Source organism: Homo sapiens, chromosome 8 (assembly GCF_000001405.40).
Source record: "Homo sapiens chromosome 8, GRCh38.p14 Primary Assembly".
Classification (NCBI taxonomy): Eukaryota; Metazoa; Chordata; class Mammalia; order Primates; family Hominidae; genus Homo; species Homo sapiens.
In genome coordinates this window covers 120,516,486-120,534,779 of record NC_000008.11, presented here as the reverse complement: position 1 = coordinate 120,534,779, position 18,294 = coordinate 120,516,486, and the positions used below count along the sequence as shown (strand labels likewise).

Below are 18,294 nucleotides of genomic sequence, written 5' to 3'. Positions count from 1 at the left end.
GAGTTTTTGTGAGTTTAAATACCCTCTACTTGGGGTACGCCCTATGTAAATGAAGAGGATGAAGTAAAGTTACAAAGTCATTTACTCGGTGTACACCCTATGGAGAGGCTATTTCCTGTTATAGCTGAAGTGTGAATCAGCCTTATGTTCCCTGACTCCAGACTCTATTTTCCTGCCTCATCTCTCCACTTAGAGATGTGATCCTCATAAATCTTTACGGGAGGCAGAGGGACCGATGGTCTTTTTTTCCGTAACTGTTTCATGCTGACTTAAGGCATAGTCTCTATCTATTGGGGATCACGGAACCCTCGCACTGCTCTGTCTAGTGGAGGCAGGGTAGTTTCTTGATGGCCAGGGGTGATGTCTTCACCTGGAACTGGCTGGAGCCTTTGTTGCCTGATCACCTGAAGCTTGATGGTCTCTTAGGGGTTCCAATGGGTGCACAGTTCCAAAAGTGTGGCGGGACCCTTCTCAGTTGCAAGACCATGAACCCAAAGTTCAAGGTCCTGAAGTTTTGTTGTAGTGTGGATGGCAAGGACAGTCTTTCTCTGAGGTTTCCAGAAGATTCGAACTGTAAAAAGCTTTCTTTTTTTTTTTTGAGACGTAGTCTCACTTTGTCACCCAGGCTAGAGTGCAGTGGCATGATCTCAGCTCACTGCAACCTCCACCTCCCAGGTTCAAGGGATTCTCCTGCCTCAGCCTCCTGAGTAGCTGGGATTACAGGCGCCTGCCACCAGGCCTGGCTAATTTTTGTAATTGTTAGTAGAGACAAGGTTTCACCATGTTAGCCAGGCTGGTCTCAAACTCCTGACCTCAGGTGATCCACCTGCCTCTGCCTCCCAAAGTGCTGGGATTACAGGTGTGAGCCACTGCGCACAGCCGTAAAAAGCTTTCTTTACCCTATTATTTCAACAGTACTAACTTAAGGTATATGATTTGCTAGTAATATAGCAACATTGTATACACATATAAAAATGAATATAAACCAATTAAAACTTTTTAAATATAAACCAATTAAAGCTTTTTAAAGTTTGTAGCACTTAAAGTCATCCCACACATACACCATGGCCCAGGTACTACATCTTTGGAAACACTGACCTTGTATAATATTCCATAAAACTCAGGAATCTTTTCCTGAACATCTCTTGAAATTATTCATCCAGCCTGAAATTGAAAATTTCCAGATATGAGCGGGAATTACCTCATCTTCCCAGGCAGGTCATTCCGCTGCTGGATGGGTAGAGATGTTTGAAAGTTCTTACATTGTTAGAGCCAAAACTTCTGGCTGGATGTGGTGGCTCACGACTATAATCCCAATGCTTTGGGAGGCTAAGGTCAGAGGATCACTTGAGGCCAGGAGTTCAAGAGTTCGAGACCAGCCTGGACAAAATAGCGAGACTGCATCTTTAAAACAAAACAAAACAAAACAAATTTCTGTCTGCCTAACTTTCAGTCATGACCCTGGTTCTACCCTAGAAAATATTGGAAGTCCAATTTCCTGTCCACGTGAATATCCTATATAAAAAGACAAGTCAAGGCTGGACGCTACTAAGTAATGTAAAGTGATCTGAAAATGGCTTTCAATAGGGCATTTAAAATTCTTCATTTTCATCTTTAAAGAACTACAGTTACCAAGATTAAAACCTTCTACAATACTTAGTGGTGAAATATCTGGCAATAATTGAGAGAGCAATTTGGCAATATCCATACAAATTTAAAAAGACATGTACCTCTTGACTTGTGGGAATTTATTCTAGAGATGTAACTGTATGAGTGCACAAAGGCTAATGTCTAACGATCATCTCTGCAGCGTTGCTTGCAACAAGACCATTGAAAAAGTCAGTGTGACCATCACTAGCTAAATAAATCCTGGTACAGAGGTATGCTTGAATATTCTGCAACTGTTACAAAGAATGGTCGATCTTTAAGTGCTAATATGGGCAAAATCTCTAAGTGCTAGCTCTGTGAGGTGCATATCTCCCGTTTTTTGTTTGTTTTCAATGGTTCTCCAGAATAGTCAAACTACACCCTCCACACACTCCATGGGGGCATTTTGGAAATCTGTGGTAATGCTCTTTGGTTGTCACAATAATTGGGGGAAGGGGGAACATTATTGGCATTTAATGAAGAAGACCCAGAGTTGGTAGATATAATGCTGATGACAGCCCTACATCCAATGGAACCATTTCCCACACAATTTTTGAGTGTCCTGGGTTATTTGTGTTGGTGAAAAACCTGTTTGATAATCCGAGTCTAGACCTTGACTACCTTTTATATATGAAAACATTTTGACAGATTCAATATATTCTGATTTTCTAGATATGCAACTACCATGTATATGAAAGATTGTGTTTCATTTTGCTCAGGGCATTATCAAAAGGTATTAATATTTTACAAAAACAAGTCTGTGTGGTACCTGAGTTACAAACAACTGACTCAGTACCACTTCAGTCATGGCTAATTGGTGTAAAAGTCAAACATTTGACTACTTCATTTTGTCTTTTAGTGTAATCATACTCCAGCATCTCCATATTGAAATGCATACTGTTTTATTATAATTACTTTGCTTTTCCAAAAATTTTACCTTATGGTTAAGAGATAGCAATTTTTAAGAGCCTAAGTATGTATAGGTTAGATTACTGTATAGGACACATCCTACGTATATCCTCAGATTCCTTCAGTGCCATCATGGCGTCTCCTAAACTTCCAGCTGTTTACCCAACCTTAGGCACCACCATAGCTGGATCTGCTTGACCTAACTGTTTAGCCACTTAGAGCCAACCAATTGCTTGCCTGGAAATGTTGCCTCCCCTCCCATCTCTGTTTGGTGGCTGCCAGGCAGCCAGGCAGAGGAGACACATACTTCAATTTCTGAGTTCTATCATCAGTTCCAGACTTGGATGGACAGCACACTGCAGGGCACAGGAGCTGGATTCCAGAGCAGCTGCTGGGTAATAACCTGAGCAAGGCAGAACTATAGGGGATTTAAATCTTTGTGGGGCCAAACAGGAGTCAGTAACAAGGAGAAGCCGAGCAAATAAATAATCCTCTTCTTCCTCTTTTTTTTTTTTTGAGACCATAGTCTCACTCTGTCACCCAGGCTGGAGTGCAGTGGTGCAATCTCAGCTCACTGCACCCTTCCACCTCTTGGGTTCAAGCTATTCTCCTGCTCGGCCTCCCAAGTAGCTGGGATTACAGGCACACGCCACCACCCGCCCCCTCCTAATTTTTGTGTGTGTGTTTTTTTAATAGACACGGGGTTTCACCATGTTGGCCAGGCTGATCTCAAACTCCTGACCTCAAGTGATTTGCCTCCCTCGGCCTCCCAAAGTGATGAGATTACAGGCGTGAGCCACCACACCCGGCCTCTTCTTCCTCTTTTTATGTACTTATGTGAGGCATGATTTCTCTGTACACCCTCTATCCTGAGAGACATCCCATGTGACTGAGAAGATGCCTACTTAGTGGTTGGCTGTGTCTCTCTGGGCCTCATGAAGCACTAATGTCACCTTGCCTTGCTTTCCTGCCTTCCCTGCCTTTTTCCCCCTTTTTCATCATCTCCATGTCTCCCAAATAAAGCATTAGCACAAATCCTTGCCTCAGATTTTGTTTTCTAGGAAACTTGGCCTAAGACCATTATTTATGAATTCCACCTTGTGACGGCAAAGGAGACATTAAAAGTACTGCTTATAGAAGGGGTGTTTGGGCCTGATAAGTTGAGAAACAATGGACACATATAATATGCTTGTACATGTATTAAAATGTCTGGAAGGATACATTTAAAAAATGTAAAAAGGCTTCTTACTATCAGTTACTGCTGAGAAATGGGACTAGGGATGATGGGTATGACCTTAATACCCTTCTAGATTACATGAACTTCTTAAATGTGCATTTCAAAATTCCCTTTTAAAAAAGGTTCTTTTTTTATGGCTAATGTTCTGATATGGTGAATAATATATTTAGCCTGTCTATAAAATCCTGAATAATAGAACTATTTGAATGTGTGACCAGAAATCAATTATCATGTCACCTACAGTCCTCTAAATTACACTAAATTTGATTTCACTGGGGGAAGCAAGTCTAATACCTCATTAAAATGACTAAACCATGTCCAAGGAGAGTATGGAATCACATTTGAATGATAACAGAAAAGCCGCAGGAACCTCTCTTTTGGCCTTTTATTCTCTATTATTTTTTTCCTTGTACATAAATGAGGCTTTTTCTTGGAAGAGTGTAAGAGTCCATAGAGGGAACATTGCTCAGACAGTGTCACAGCAAGAAGAGCTGGGCAGAGGTGGGAGATGGTGAAAAATAAGAAAGCCCTATGGAGACAAGAGGCAGGATAGGAAACTGACACACAATCAGACCATCCATTGCCTGTTGGCAGCATGGTCAGGAAAAGGCATCCCATGGACAAAGCCCCTCCTGCTGACTCTGATCTCAGAGGTGGAGACGCTCCTGCTCTCATGCTTGGCCTCATGGCTGTGATTCTGCCTTGGCTTGGACCAGGGCCTGGGAATGTTGAAAGAAAACGTTCTTCTCAAGAAACAAAGCCAGTGATATTTTCAGCAACTTTCCTGTATAATTCTTTGGATGAATAAAGCCTATTTACTCCCAAGAACTCAAAGGCAGTTCCAGGAAACACTAAGAATAATGCTTCATTAATGAATTGTAGCTCCCCTGCTTCCTAATTCTCAGCCGCACAAGAGAGTAAGGAACTTCTTCCTCTGCAAGTTTCTGGGTCTCATGAAAAAGGGAAACGCAGTCCAAAAAGTAAGCAATTTCATTTATCTTCAACTACGGCCTTCAAACTAAGGCCTTAAAAAATGAAGTTTTTGAAACTTTCTTTCTTGCACTTGGCCTCTCAATGAATTTTTGGATGTGAGTGGAAGTTAATGCTTATGTACAATAAGCTACCTCACAATCTAGTGGCTTAGAACACTGCAACATATTATTTCTCATTATTCTGAGGGTTGGCTGGGCAGCTCTTTACTGTTTTGCCTGGGCTCACTCATGTGGCCGTATTTGTCTGGAGCATGCACTAGGCTGGAAGATCCCAGATGCCTCACTCACATGCCTGCCAGCTGGTGTGGCTGTCAGGGAACCTCTGTTCTCTTCCATATGGCCTCTCACCTTCTAATAGGCTAGACCAGTTCTCTTATGTGGCTCCCTTATATGCAGGACAAGGTTCTACAAGAGCAAAAGAGAAGCTATAAGGTCCTCAAGGCCTAGGTTCCAGCTCACAGCATGTCATTTATGCCACATTCTACTGGTCAAAGAAAGTCACATTGCCAGCTCAGATGCAAGGACTAGGGGAACAGATTCCATCTCTTGGTGGGAGGAGCTCAAAGCTTTGTGGCTATATTTGACCATATTCTACCCTTTGGACACAATTATTTTCATTTGTTCCACATGAAAAATAATTAATACAGCCTGAAGTCCAATATTTCATGACCATTGGGTAGGGATAACTCTCTTAGGGTGTGGCTTCTTAAAATCTACAATATTGTGACCTACAAAAACCAAGTTAACTGCCTTCCATACATCCGAAATACAATGGTGAGGCAGAGATAGGATAACTGCAAGAGATGGGACTAGTCACTAGTTCACAGTAATTCTGAAATCCAGCTAGGAAGGGACGACTTTATTCGAGATCTTCTGTATGTGGTTTTGCTTAAAGTTGCAGTTTCCAAGAACCTATCAATGACTTGAGGATTTACTGTAGTCCAAGGATGCAGCTGATGAGTTTTCTTATCCTGCTTCCTGTCCATTGAAATTTGGAGGCCTCTTTTCAGTTTGATACAAATTTCTTACCATTTTACGAGATTTCTGGTGCCAAGAAAAGTCAATGGGGAAAGAATAGTCTTTTCACTAAATAGTGCTGGAACAACAGGATATCTGTATGCAAAGGAATGAAGCTGTATCCCTTCACAAAATTAAGTCTATACAAAAATTAAGTCAAAATGGGTCATAGACCTAAATTCAGGAACTAAACAATAAAGTAAAAAACTCACAGAATGGGAGTAAATATTTGCAAATTGTATATCTGATTGGAAACTAGAATCCAGAATATATAAAGAAGTCTTACAATTCAACAAAAGACAAATAACCCAAATAAAAAATGGTCAAAAGATCTGAGTGAACATTTCTTCAAATAAGATATGTAAGCAGCCAGAAAACACATGAAAAGATGCTTAACATCATTAGCTATCAGGTAAATGCAAATCAAAACCACAATGAGATACTACTTCATATCATTGTCTTGTGAAAAAAGACAAATAACGAGTGTTGGCAAGATGTGGAGAAACCAGAACCCTCATCCATTGCTGGTGGGAATGTCAAGTGGTATAGCTACTTTGGAAAACAGTCTGTCATTTTCTCAAAAACTTAACCGTGGAGTCACCATATATCCCAGCAATTCCCCTCTTAGGCGTATAAACCCAAGATAACAGAAAATATTTGCCCATGTGCAAAACTTGAACACAAATATCCATGGCAGCACTATTAATAATACCAAAAAAAGGAATCAACCCAAATGCCCATCAACTAATAAATGGATAAACAAAATGTAGCAGATTCATACATTATTCAGCTATAAAAAGGGATGAAGAACTGATACATGTTACAACATGAACCTTGAAAACCTTATGCTAAGGGAAAGAAGCCAGACACAAAAGGCCATATATTGTACATACCGTATGAGTCAATTTATATGAAATATCCTAGAATAGGCAAATCCATAGGGACAGAAAGCAGATTAATGACCAATGTCCTCACCACACACACACATACACACACACACACACCAATGTGTGATGTGGTAATCGTCAGATTGTGGTAATCGTTTCACAATGTATATGTATATCAAATAATCATGTTGTACACCTTGAATATGTACAATTTTTATTTGTTAATTATACCTCAATAAAGCTGAAGAAAAAAATGTAGATTAGTGGTTGCTAGGGAATGATGGAAAGAAAAATAATAAATACTGCCAACAGATACGGGGTTTCCATTTGGAGTGATGAAATGTTCTGGAATTAGATGTGGGTGATGATTGCACACTTTGTGAATGGACTAAAACCACTGAATTATACACTTTAAAGGACGAATTCTAGTGTATATGATTACATTTCAACTAAAAGAGACTTTGTGGGCTTTCTGTGTACCAAGTTATAGTCTACTGATGAAAGCCATACCCACCATTCTTTTCATGACAGGTCTCTCTTTATTGACAGTGTCGGGTGCTGTGAAACACTACCCTTTAGATTCTTAAAAGCTCTTTTGTCTAGCTGAGAGGGTCTACTTTTAAATCATTAAGTATTTTAAATGTCTTAATAAAGGATTATATAGCCACACCTCTGGCTTGATTCTTTTTCTGAGGCTATTTCTGACTTAGAAAATTTTTTGCCACTGGGGATACTGAAAGTGGAAAATCATTTTATTTTCCAACCCAGAATATCCTAAGCCCTTCATATCTCCTCTAAATTCTGCCAGAAAATGGAACATTTCTTGAATTTGTTTATCTATCTTTTCCTATACCTTATCATATTCAGCTAAACAAACAAATAAATGGCCATTGATACTTCCAACATTGTCTGGGAATATCCCTAATTAGATCCATGAGTTCATTAGGAAGAATTTCTCTTTTCTGGGTTATTTAGGCAACAGTTTGCTAAATGTACCACTACTATGTAACACATCTGAGCTACTTGGGCCCAGTGACTCCCTGTTTCCCAAACAAATGGCCTCAAATGGTTGAGGTGGTTAATGTTTATAATTCCAGCACTTTGGGAGGCTGAGGCAGTAGGATCACTTGAGGCCAGGAGTTCAAGACCAGCCTAGGCAACATATCAAGACCACATCTCTACAAAAAAAAAAAAAAAAATTCCAGGCAAGGCAGTGCTTGCCTATAATCCCAGCTACTCAGGAAGCTACTTGGGATTGTTTGAGCCAGGGAGGTCAAGGCTGCAGTGAGCTGTGATCCTGCCACTGCACTCCAGCCTAGGCAACAGAGCAAGACCCTCTTCCAACCCCACCCACCAATAAAAAGAGATTTCCAAATGCATCATATAGTCATCAAGACATGGTAAAGTCTGTTTCAAAATTGTATTCATTCTAGTTGGTGTTTAGAGGCATCTTATTATGGTTTTAATTTGCATTCCTTTGATGACTGATGATGTTGAGCATCTTTTCACGTGCTTATTGCCATTCCTATATCCTCTTTCATGAAATGTTTTTTTCAAATATTTTGCCCATTTAAAAAATTTGGGTTATGTCTTATCATTAAGCTGTTAAGAGTGTCTCACATATTCTAGATAAAAGTCCTTTGTCAGATATATGCATTGCAAATAATTTCTCCCAGTCTGTGGGTTACATTTTCACTCTCCTAGTGGTGCCTTTCCAAGAGGAGCTTTTAGATTTTGAAGTAAAATTTATTTTTTTTTAATTTTATGGTTTGTACTTTTTGTGTCCTTTCTAAGAATCCTTGTTTTATTCCAAGAGTGATGAAGATTTTTCTGTGTTTTCCTGTGTAGGTTTTATGGTTTTGGATTTTAAATATAAAATTATGATCCATATCACATTAATAGTTGCAAATGGTAGGAGGTTATGGTTGAAGGTAACTTATTTTTCCATATGGATGGATATCCCCTTATTCAAGTTCAATTTTTTAAAAGACCTTTTTTACTTCAATGAAAAGTTTGATATATAGGTATACCTATAAGCTTTTCTTCTGTTCCACTGACCTATATGCTTATTCTAATTCCAATAGCAAATTGTCTTCATTACTGTAACTTTATAGTAAGTCTTAAAGTGAAGAAACAAGTCTCCCAACTTTGTTCTTTTGTTACAAAGTTATTTGGCTATCCTATGTCCTTTTAATAAGTGATTACATCAGTTTAGTTTTTTCATTTATACTTTTGCTTTCAATCAGGTTAACTGATGTAATTTACATATGCTAAATTTCAAACAACATTACAAAAGTTTATCCAGCATGTTCACAAAAAGAAATATTTTAAATGGTATCAGGCTTACAGGTTATCTTCAAACTTGTTTTCATGTATATTATTAAGTACGGCAGAAAACCAGGATCCTTGGAAGAAAGGAATAAAAACAAATAAAAAAATGGATACACCAACACTTGCAGAGATCCTATGTTTGGAGAAGCAGTGTGGTTCAACAAATGTAAGTTCTCATTCTGGCTCTGTAATTGCTGAGCTATGTGATCCTGGATATGACACTTAATCTTGCTATACTTCAATTTCTTACCTATAAAATGGGAAATAGCTACTTAATATGGCTTCAGTGAGATCATGTAAAATGATTAAGATAATGTCTGTCATATAGTGCTTAATAAATGTTGGCCATGATTATCATCTTTTCATGATCCCTGTGAAGTCAGCATTGTTTACCCCATTTTTAGAAGAGCAAATGGACGTTATGAGAGTTTTTCTTTCCTATGACCATTACTCTGTTCCCAGGAATGTTTTCAAATTGCCTGATCTAATCTGTTGTACTTTAAAACCAACTGGCTCCTCTCATGTTATAAATGTTTATTAGTCTGATTAAATAAATTTACATTTAAAAACGCCTATTGGTACAGCATTTTTTTTTTTCCTTTTGAGATAGGGTCGCGATCTTTCTCACAGGTTGGAGAACAGTGGCGAAATCATGGCTCACTGCAGCCTTGACCTTCTAGGATCAAGCAATCCTCCCACTTCAGCCTCCTAAGTAGCTTAAGACCCCTCCTACATAGCTACAGGTACGTGCCACCATGTGCAGCTAATTAAATTTTTTTAGAGATGGGGTCTCACTATGTTGCCAAGGCTGGTCTCAAACTCCTAGCCTCAACCAATCCTCCTTTCTCAACCTCCCAAAGTGCTGGGATTACAGGTATGAGCCACTATGCCCAGCCATGGTACAGCATTTCAAAAGACAATTTTGCTAACCTAATAGAGTATTCAAATATTGGCTCACTCTTGCAATTCCTATGAGAGTGAACAATTCAGACAAAAAGGAGCATTTCAAATCAGCAATTCCACGGAACCCTAGAAATGCTTTTTGAAAGCATTCACTTTGAATTCAACATAGACAAGCAAAGCATATGTGATAAGCAAATTTCTTTAATTGGAAGAAACTATAAAGATGGTAGATTTGATTACATAAAAACGAAAAATTTCAGAACACTATAAACAAAAAGACAAAGGGCCAATATCCTTAATATATAAGAATATGTATGAACAAGTAAGAAAAAGTCAAAAACAGTTCAAAAGAAAAATGGGCAAAAGCTAGAAATAAACAGTTACAGAGATGCCAACATGTTTTAAAAAAATTCACCCTTACTATTTTCAGTCATCAAAAAGGGAAATGGGGACTCTGCCGGTGGGAGTTCATATTGGTCTTTCAGGAGGGCAATTTAAAAACATTTACAAAAAAGCTTAAGACCCAAAAATTCCCCTCCTAAAAAAGCATACTAGGAAAATAGTGACATACTGGGAAGATTCATTAAAGTGTTATGTGTTACAGGGAAAAACAGAATCTTTATGTCCAATAATGGGTGATTAAACAAACTGTGGTTCATTTGCATTAGGCAGTTATTAAAATAATGACATAAAATTCACAACATATTGTTATGTGAAAAGCAGGTTATTAATTAATACACACATACACACATATGCATAACAACATATTATATGATTCCAATTTTGAAAGTATTTAAAAATAATTACATATATTTTTAAAATACAGCAGTTATGTCTAGACAGTAGGGGGGAATGTGGTAATTTTTTTTCATTCTTCCTTGTATTTTCTGCATTTTCCAAATTTTCTACCATGGGAAAAGACAATTTTTTTCCTGGGAGACTGTACTTAGTGTCATTTTCATTATGTCTTATTTTCACAATTTATCTTGTTTCTTCATTTTTGATACCAAATGAACATTAATAGCCCCAACAATGGTGGCTCTAGGGCTGAGGCCTGTTTGCATTTTTTTTGCCAATACGCTCTAAATTGGGAGCAGTCCAATAAACTATGTTGTTGGAACACATGGGAAAAGCCACTGGCAATATCTTACTTAAGTCTAAGAAATGTAAGGCAGGCCTAACTTAGTACACCTAACAACAAAGACATGAAATCCAAAAAGTAAAAAAAAAAAATTCTGTTTATTGTAATAATTAAATAAGAGTAAACATTTTAAAACATATAAAAATAACTTTAAAATATAGTAACACTTTACAAAATATGTATCTAATTAAAAATACATTAACATAGCATCCCTCAAACTATACAAATATAGAATATATATTCATGAAATTCTTTAGAAATATAACATCTATTCTTTGAATAAAGCTTAAAATTTGTTTATAATTTTCAAACTAAGAAAAGAAGTAGTGAATAATAGCTCCATCCAATTTATAATTGTCTTAAAGAGAATGATTATGTATCATTTCTTGCTTGTCTTTTCTAATACCCAGTCAATCACCTAGGGGGAGAAAAAATATGATTACAGAAGATTTCTCTTGAAAACACAAGTAATAGAAAAATATATTGTAAAAACTTCAAAAGAACATGGTAGAAAATTTCAAATAAAAAGGAAGATACTGAAATCTTATACTTAAATACACATTTTATTTTCTAATGGAAGAACATTTTTGTTGGACTTCCAATACTGAGTACAATAATGTTCTCACTGGATGAAATGAAGATTCTGCTCCATTTTCTCACCTTTATATGAAAATATGTTTCAAATGGTCAATCAAATAAACTAAACTAAACTTTGAAAACAGCTAACCAAAATGGATTGGTTTTTCCAGCTAATTTATTTTTTCTTTTGCTTTCTTAGTGTCACTTTAGAAACTCTTTTGCTGACAGAGCAATCTACTAAATACTATGAAATACTCAGCCTAAATAAGCCTATGAAGTTTCTTAAAGAGTTTTCATAGGGACAGAGTTGAAAAAGACCAGTAACTGATTACTGCTGCATATATAATGGCATCAGAGCAACCCTGAAATAAAATACCAATTTAATTGAATATAGTTTCTTGGGAATAATTTCTTTACCTGTACAGCATTGTTGTTTGCTGTTTTCTTCATTTCTTCAAATAGACCCCTTGAAGTTTTAAGATCCTAAACATAATAAAATACAGCATTTTACAATCTGCACATTAAATTACAAAGAACAACTCATTATTATTAAATACACTTGAGATTATTCTAAATCATTCTACACGTATTAATGTGATTAGGGACAGACTACAACAACAAAAAAAATCTAAGTACTAGATTATAATTTAGTTCCATTCTGAAATATCAAAATACTCTAACCAAAATACATACACATATACATAAGTCCATCTCACTCTCCTCTCCTATTCCCAATAGAGCTGACCTAAAATAACTTCCACCCTCCACCGTGAGCATCCACTAATGCTGCATTACTCTCCCATCCTCCACCGTGAGCATCCACTAATGCTGCATTACTCTCCCATCCTCCACCGTGAGCATCCACTAATGCTGCATTACTCTCCCATCCTCCACCGTGAGCATCCACTAATGCTGCATTACTCTCCCATCCTCCACCGTGAGCATCCACTAATGCTGCATTACTCTCCCACCCTCCACCGTGAGCATCCACTAATGCTGCATTACTCTCCCACCCTCCACCGTGAGCATCCACTAATGCTGCATTACTCTCCCACCCTCCACCGTGAGCATCCACTAATGCTGCATTACTCTCCCATCCTCCACCGTGAGCATCCACTAATGCTGCATTACTCTCCCACCCTCCACCGTGAGCATCCACTAATGCTGCATTACTCTCCCACCCTCCACCGTGAGCATCCACTAATGCTGCATTACTCTCCCACCCTCCACCGTGAGCATCCACTAATGCTGCATTACTCTCCCATCCTCCACCGTGAGCATCCACTAATGCTGCATTACTCCAGAAACAAACATATGGTTTGTATTTATTTATCAGGTAAAAGATATTTTTTCTTCATTTTGGCTATTTGACTCCATCATAAAGAAGAATGACATACAAAAGGAAGCTGATGTCTCACTTTTAAAAATTTAGTGATTATTACAAAGTAAAAGAAATGGAATTGTATTTAAAAAGATAAGAAGCAGTTATCTGTTGTACTTCCAAGTTACGCTCCATAAAGGCAGCCACTTTCAATTCTTTCAGGTTTTTCCCTTATTTATACCTTAATGTTTCTAACTACTATGCTTATGTTGCTACTTGGTGATTAAACACTTTTAGACACTGACTACTGATGTTAGGGAGAACTGATGTTAGGGAGAACGTCATGGATGGATTCAGGTCTCGTACACAAAACCTTCCTTCTCTTCCTTTGAAGAACAGTTGTACCACAATTTTTGATTGTAAATAGGCAGTGTTTACACTATTGTATCTATGTAAATACTTTCAATTGTGTGCTAATTAATGTATTATGGTTATAATTTATCTTTCTTCCAATATTCTATTTATCCTGTTAACTACCTGTTAGCTTTTTTCATTTGCTCAGCTTTCCATGTATATAATTCTGGGTTTTTCACTCCTAAATACTGGCAATAAATGGGCTAAATGTACAGCAAAGTTTTTTCAAGCCCTGAAGTATACAGGATAATCTCTCAGTTCAGCTTCCTTTCTGCTTTTGGTCTTTTTAATTAAATTTTTTAAACCTGGAGATCTTTCTCCCATAGCCTCCTCTAATTTGTTCTAGTTGCTGCCTAGGCCTGGTCCTATTAGGACTTGTCTTTTCCATTTTAGATTAGTTTTTGTTTTGTTTCTTGATTTAGTCCCTTGTTCTGTTGAACTTCATCTTCTAGCAGATTCCTCAAAAGGGTAAAATAAATTCTTTTTCAGATATTCCATGTTTGAATGTATCTTCATTAAATCCTCATACCTGACTGCATTCCAGACTGGGTATAGAATACTAGGTAAGTCACCTTCCCTCAGAAGTTTCTTTTCTTTTTTCTTTTTTCTTTTTTTAATTCTAGAAATGCACATCCCTCAGAATTTGAAGATACTTTTCTACTATCTTCTAGCATACAGTGTTACTGTGGAGAAGTCCAATGCCATTCTGATTATTGATTCACTATATATAAACTAGATTATTTCCTGGGAAGCTTTTAGAAAATGTTCTCTCCATGCTAAGAGGTGTGAAATTCCATAATTATGTGACTCGTTGAAGAATTTTCATTCATTGGCTTGGACAAGCTAGGACGCTTGTGTCCACTCCTGGAAAACTTTGTTATATTTTTGAACAAGTTTCTCTCTTCTAAACTTTGAGAACAAAGGAGAGAAAATTGTTCAAAAAATACAAAATTCATATTATTAGCATTTTGGATCTTCTGTATTAATCCTCCAATTTTCTTAGCCTGGATTTAATGTTTTTGTCATTTGATTCTAATTTCTGGTAAATTTTTTTCATCTCAACTGTTCAGCCTTTCTATTTAATTGACTTTATCATATTTTTAAAGTTATGGAGCTTTCATGTTTTATGCTTTTTTTGGAAACAGCATCCTGTTCTAGTTTTATGGATGCGATTATCTTCTTTCTATGAGAATTATAGTTTTTATGAAGTTTTCTTCAACTTCCTGCTTCTTCAGAGTTCCCTTTATTCCTATATGTTTTGGCATCAATTGTGTTAGAAGCTTTCCTCAAAGCCTGCTAATCCATGGCTGTCTAGTCATATTTAAAAGTGAGACACTAAAAATCTGACTGGAAACTCTGTGCAGAGATTGTCACTGGTTTCTTTTCAAGGTAGAGTGACAAGATGGCCAGTTAGCTTTTCCACTGCAGCTTCCAATATTTTCCCCAGCGACTATTTCCTACAGTGTCACTGAGGTGGGTGGAAAAACCTATGCATGATAGACCTTGTAGTGAACATTTGGGGAGAAGAGCATGCAAAGCAAGTTGGACAATCTCCAGGTCACTTTGTAGATCTTTATTTAAACTTCCCTGCTTTCTACATGGACCCTCGCCCCTGCTTTCCATGATAGCTGGTGTCTTCAAATCCTGAGCACCTCAGCTTCTGTGGAATTAACATGCTTCTCACTAGTATTCCACTAGGCACCCAATTAAATTGTAACTCTTTTCACTCTGTTACACCACACTTCCATGTGCTTTTTTGTTATTGTTCAATATGTATTAAAAACATTTCCAGTTTTTTCTTGTCCTTTCTCTTGGATATGTGATAGATCTGCAGTTTTAACCAGAAACCCACAGATAACTGTGATTCAGGTCAGAAACTCCTAAGGCTGGACATAATCTAACATTGTCTAAGTTTTAGAAAACCATCGTCTTGAGTGACTGACCTGTCCAATGTCTTACAACTAGCTGATAATGGATCCAAAATTAGAAACTAGGTGTTTTGATATTTAGTCCAGTAGCCTTTTTACTACACAGTCATCCCTTGGTCTCTGCGAAGGATGATTCCATGATCCCACTGAGAATACCAAAATCCACTGACAGTCGAGTCCCTTATATAAAATGGTGTAGTATTTGCATATATCCTATGCACATTTTCCCATATACTTTTTAAAAAGTCTGTACATGTTCAGTACAGATGCAGCATCCTTTTTTTTTTTTTTTCAGAACATTTTCAATTTGCAGTTAACCCATGGATGCAGAACCCATGGATATAGAACCCACAGATATGGAGGGCCAACTGTATTAAAAAATTAATAATTAAACATGTTATGAAGCTTATTACCTGTAAGTCAAATGCACATTAGGGGAAATAGGATATTGGTTAAAATGTAGCTTTCTATATATGAGAACTCAAATCAAATCAAATATAAAGTATTTTGGCTTCAATTTTTCTATCTCCATCATTTAATAAATCTGGCAGCAAGTATACGCTCTCAGTATAAAAAATACTCAAACTTTTTTTTATGTCAAACAGGAACATTAGAACATGAACTAAATTTTGCCATTAGTAGAGAAGATACCGTACCTTTAGATAGAACTTAGAGATTTCAAAGAGACGCTGGCTGCATGCAGTGAAACATTCATGAGTCTCGGTAATACTGTGTTTCTTCAGGGTTTCAGTAACTACTTCTTTCAGTATCTTGAACAGAACATAACATATGACGAATATTTCTTGGAAAAGGCACAAACCTATTATTTCAGCTTTAGAGTTCAATCCTGTGAATTACACATTCATTTTGCTGTGCTAAAAGACAGACAGGTTCATTAAGACAAAATGATTGAGAAAAAAAAGATCTAACATTTACATGGTCAGAAGTGTCACAGGAATAATATGTTAGCAGGAAATGACTACAGTGTCTTAAGAAAGGAACTCAAATCATGAGTTCTGAATTGAAATCTGAGTGTTAAAGTTACACACAGCAGGGATATGTAAGTGTATATTTATTTTTTATTATGGGAAATTTCAAGCATAGAAAAGTAGAGAATATTTGACACGCACAGAATATTTTATAACAAATTTCTATCTTGATATATCTTTTAACCAGCTTCAAGTATGATTAATCTGTGGCTAATCTTGTTTCAATTATATCCCCACCTACTTTCCTATCATCCTTCTTACACCAGTAAATTCTAGACATCGTTTCATTTCATTCATAAAATTTTTTAGACATATATTTTAAAGTAATCAAATTTAAAAAGTCTTCCTATGTAGAACTAAGAAAAATGGGAAATAAATCTTTACCCGTGTGTGTTTCTGTGATCTTGATTCCTTAATTTGCCTTGATGTTTTTGATTCATGCATACTTTTTTGACCTGAACTGGTCTTTGTAGCAAGTTTTGGAGTTTCACAGCTAGGAATTGGAACCAATGGACAAGTCACTGGTAAGGACCGTTCTGTTTGTGGCTTTCTGGATGTCACATGATGATGATAGTGATTACTATTACCAGTTGTCTGAGAAAGAAGAGACTCTGAACTTTCAGATTTCACAAGTCTATATAGCAGGGGAAAAAAATCAAGAACGTAGATTAAGCGAATCAACATCGAAGTTCATTTTCTGTCTTAAATATTACAACTATATCCATTAAGTGAATCAACATCGAAGTTCATTTTCTGTCTTACCAGTGTGTTACCACTATATTATACCACTGTTATTACATAATAGATAATATATAACATAATATATTACATAATATATAACACTATACCACTATGTTATAGTGTTACCACTATATCCATTATAACATAAATTCAAGAAAAGCAAACAAAATTTATTGCTATTACTGCCTTAAGTAAGCAATAAACATCATATTATAAAGTTGTTCCTTAGTTCTTCAGATGAGTAACTAACACATAGAAGGTAATGAATAGCAAACTAGGATTTTGGCTAATAGAGAAAGCAACAAACAATATTGTTATACTCTCTCCCATCCCTCCAATTTACAATTTCTCAAATAAATCAGCTATGCATGCCAAGAGTGCTGCTATTTATAGATTTAATACTAATCTGTTAAATATTTATACTTTTCTGTTAAGATAATTTGAACAGAAACACCACAACCTGTATCTTTTTATACCCATGGAACTCCCTTGCAAAATAAGTCATAGTGTTAAAACAAATACAAATAAACTATAAAACTGGTTCATACTTCAATCTTCCTAAAATGTTTACATTTGTTCCTGACAAGGCCCAAATTTTTCCCTTTACAAGATAGGGTCTTATAGCCCTCAATTCTGCTGACCCAGAAGCCACAGTATACATTCCTTTTAGGAACACATATATTTTTATTAGCCATAGGTCAGAAATAAGAAATATGGCTATAAATATAGTACCCCAAATGTAACTGCTGCTTTTTAATTTTATCAGGTATAAAAAGTACCATGAATTTATAAAGTCCTCATAAAAATGACTGAGTTCTTCCATATCAGGGTAACCTTATTCTAACTTTCTTAACTATTCAAAAAAAGATCTGAAAGTTATGTTTTCATATAGTTCATACTTTTTGCAAGGTTTAAATACAATAAGAATTCAAGCCTTGCTTTAGATGCCAAGAACCTAAGTTTGACAAAGGTTCTAAAGATAACATAAATTCAATAAAAATTAGTGTTCACTACATAAACTTCTAACTTCTGATCAAGTATCTGGATATTTCATTTAGTTAGCAAACTAACGCATCCAGAAAAGTTTCATATATTCTATCATTATGCAGTGTTTAAAGCTATATTTTATATGTAACAGGTGTTTTAAAAATGGTACCTCATGGAATCTCTTGCTCAAGGGAACAATGCAGGCAGGAAACTGAGGGGAAAGGAAAGGAAGAGCTAATGGGAGAACTCCCATCCCCAAACAGTCTCTTCA

General features: G+C 36.5%; 1 protein-coding gene across 1 annotated transcript in view; it reads right to left on the bottom strand.

Moving 5' to 3' along the window:
- The window catches only part of MTBP (MDM2 binding protein), a 78,218-nt gene continuing 71,067 nt past the window's right edge, over positions 11,144-18,294 (bottom strand). Inside the window, exons 19-22 of the mRNA NM_022045.5 lie at positions 16,680-16,929; positions 15,963-16,076; positions 12,061-12,126; positions 11,144-11,482 (exon numbers count right to left, since the gene is read on the bottom strand). Coding sequence (NP_071328.2) covers positions 11,444-11,482; positions 12,061-12,126; positions 15,963-16,076; positions 16,680-16,929 — 469 coding nt within the window. The 3' untranslated portion in view covers positions 11,144-11,443. The remainder of the gene's footprint in view (positions 11,483-12,060; positions 12,127-15,962; positions 16,077-16,679; positions 16,930-18,294) is intronic.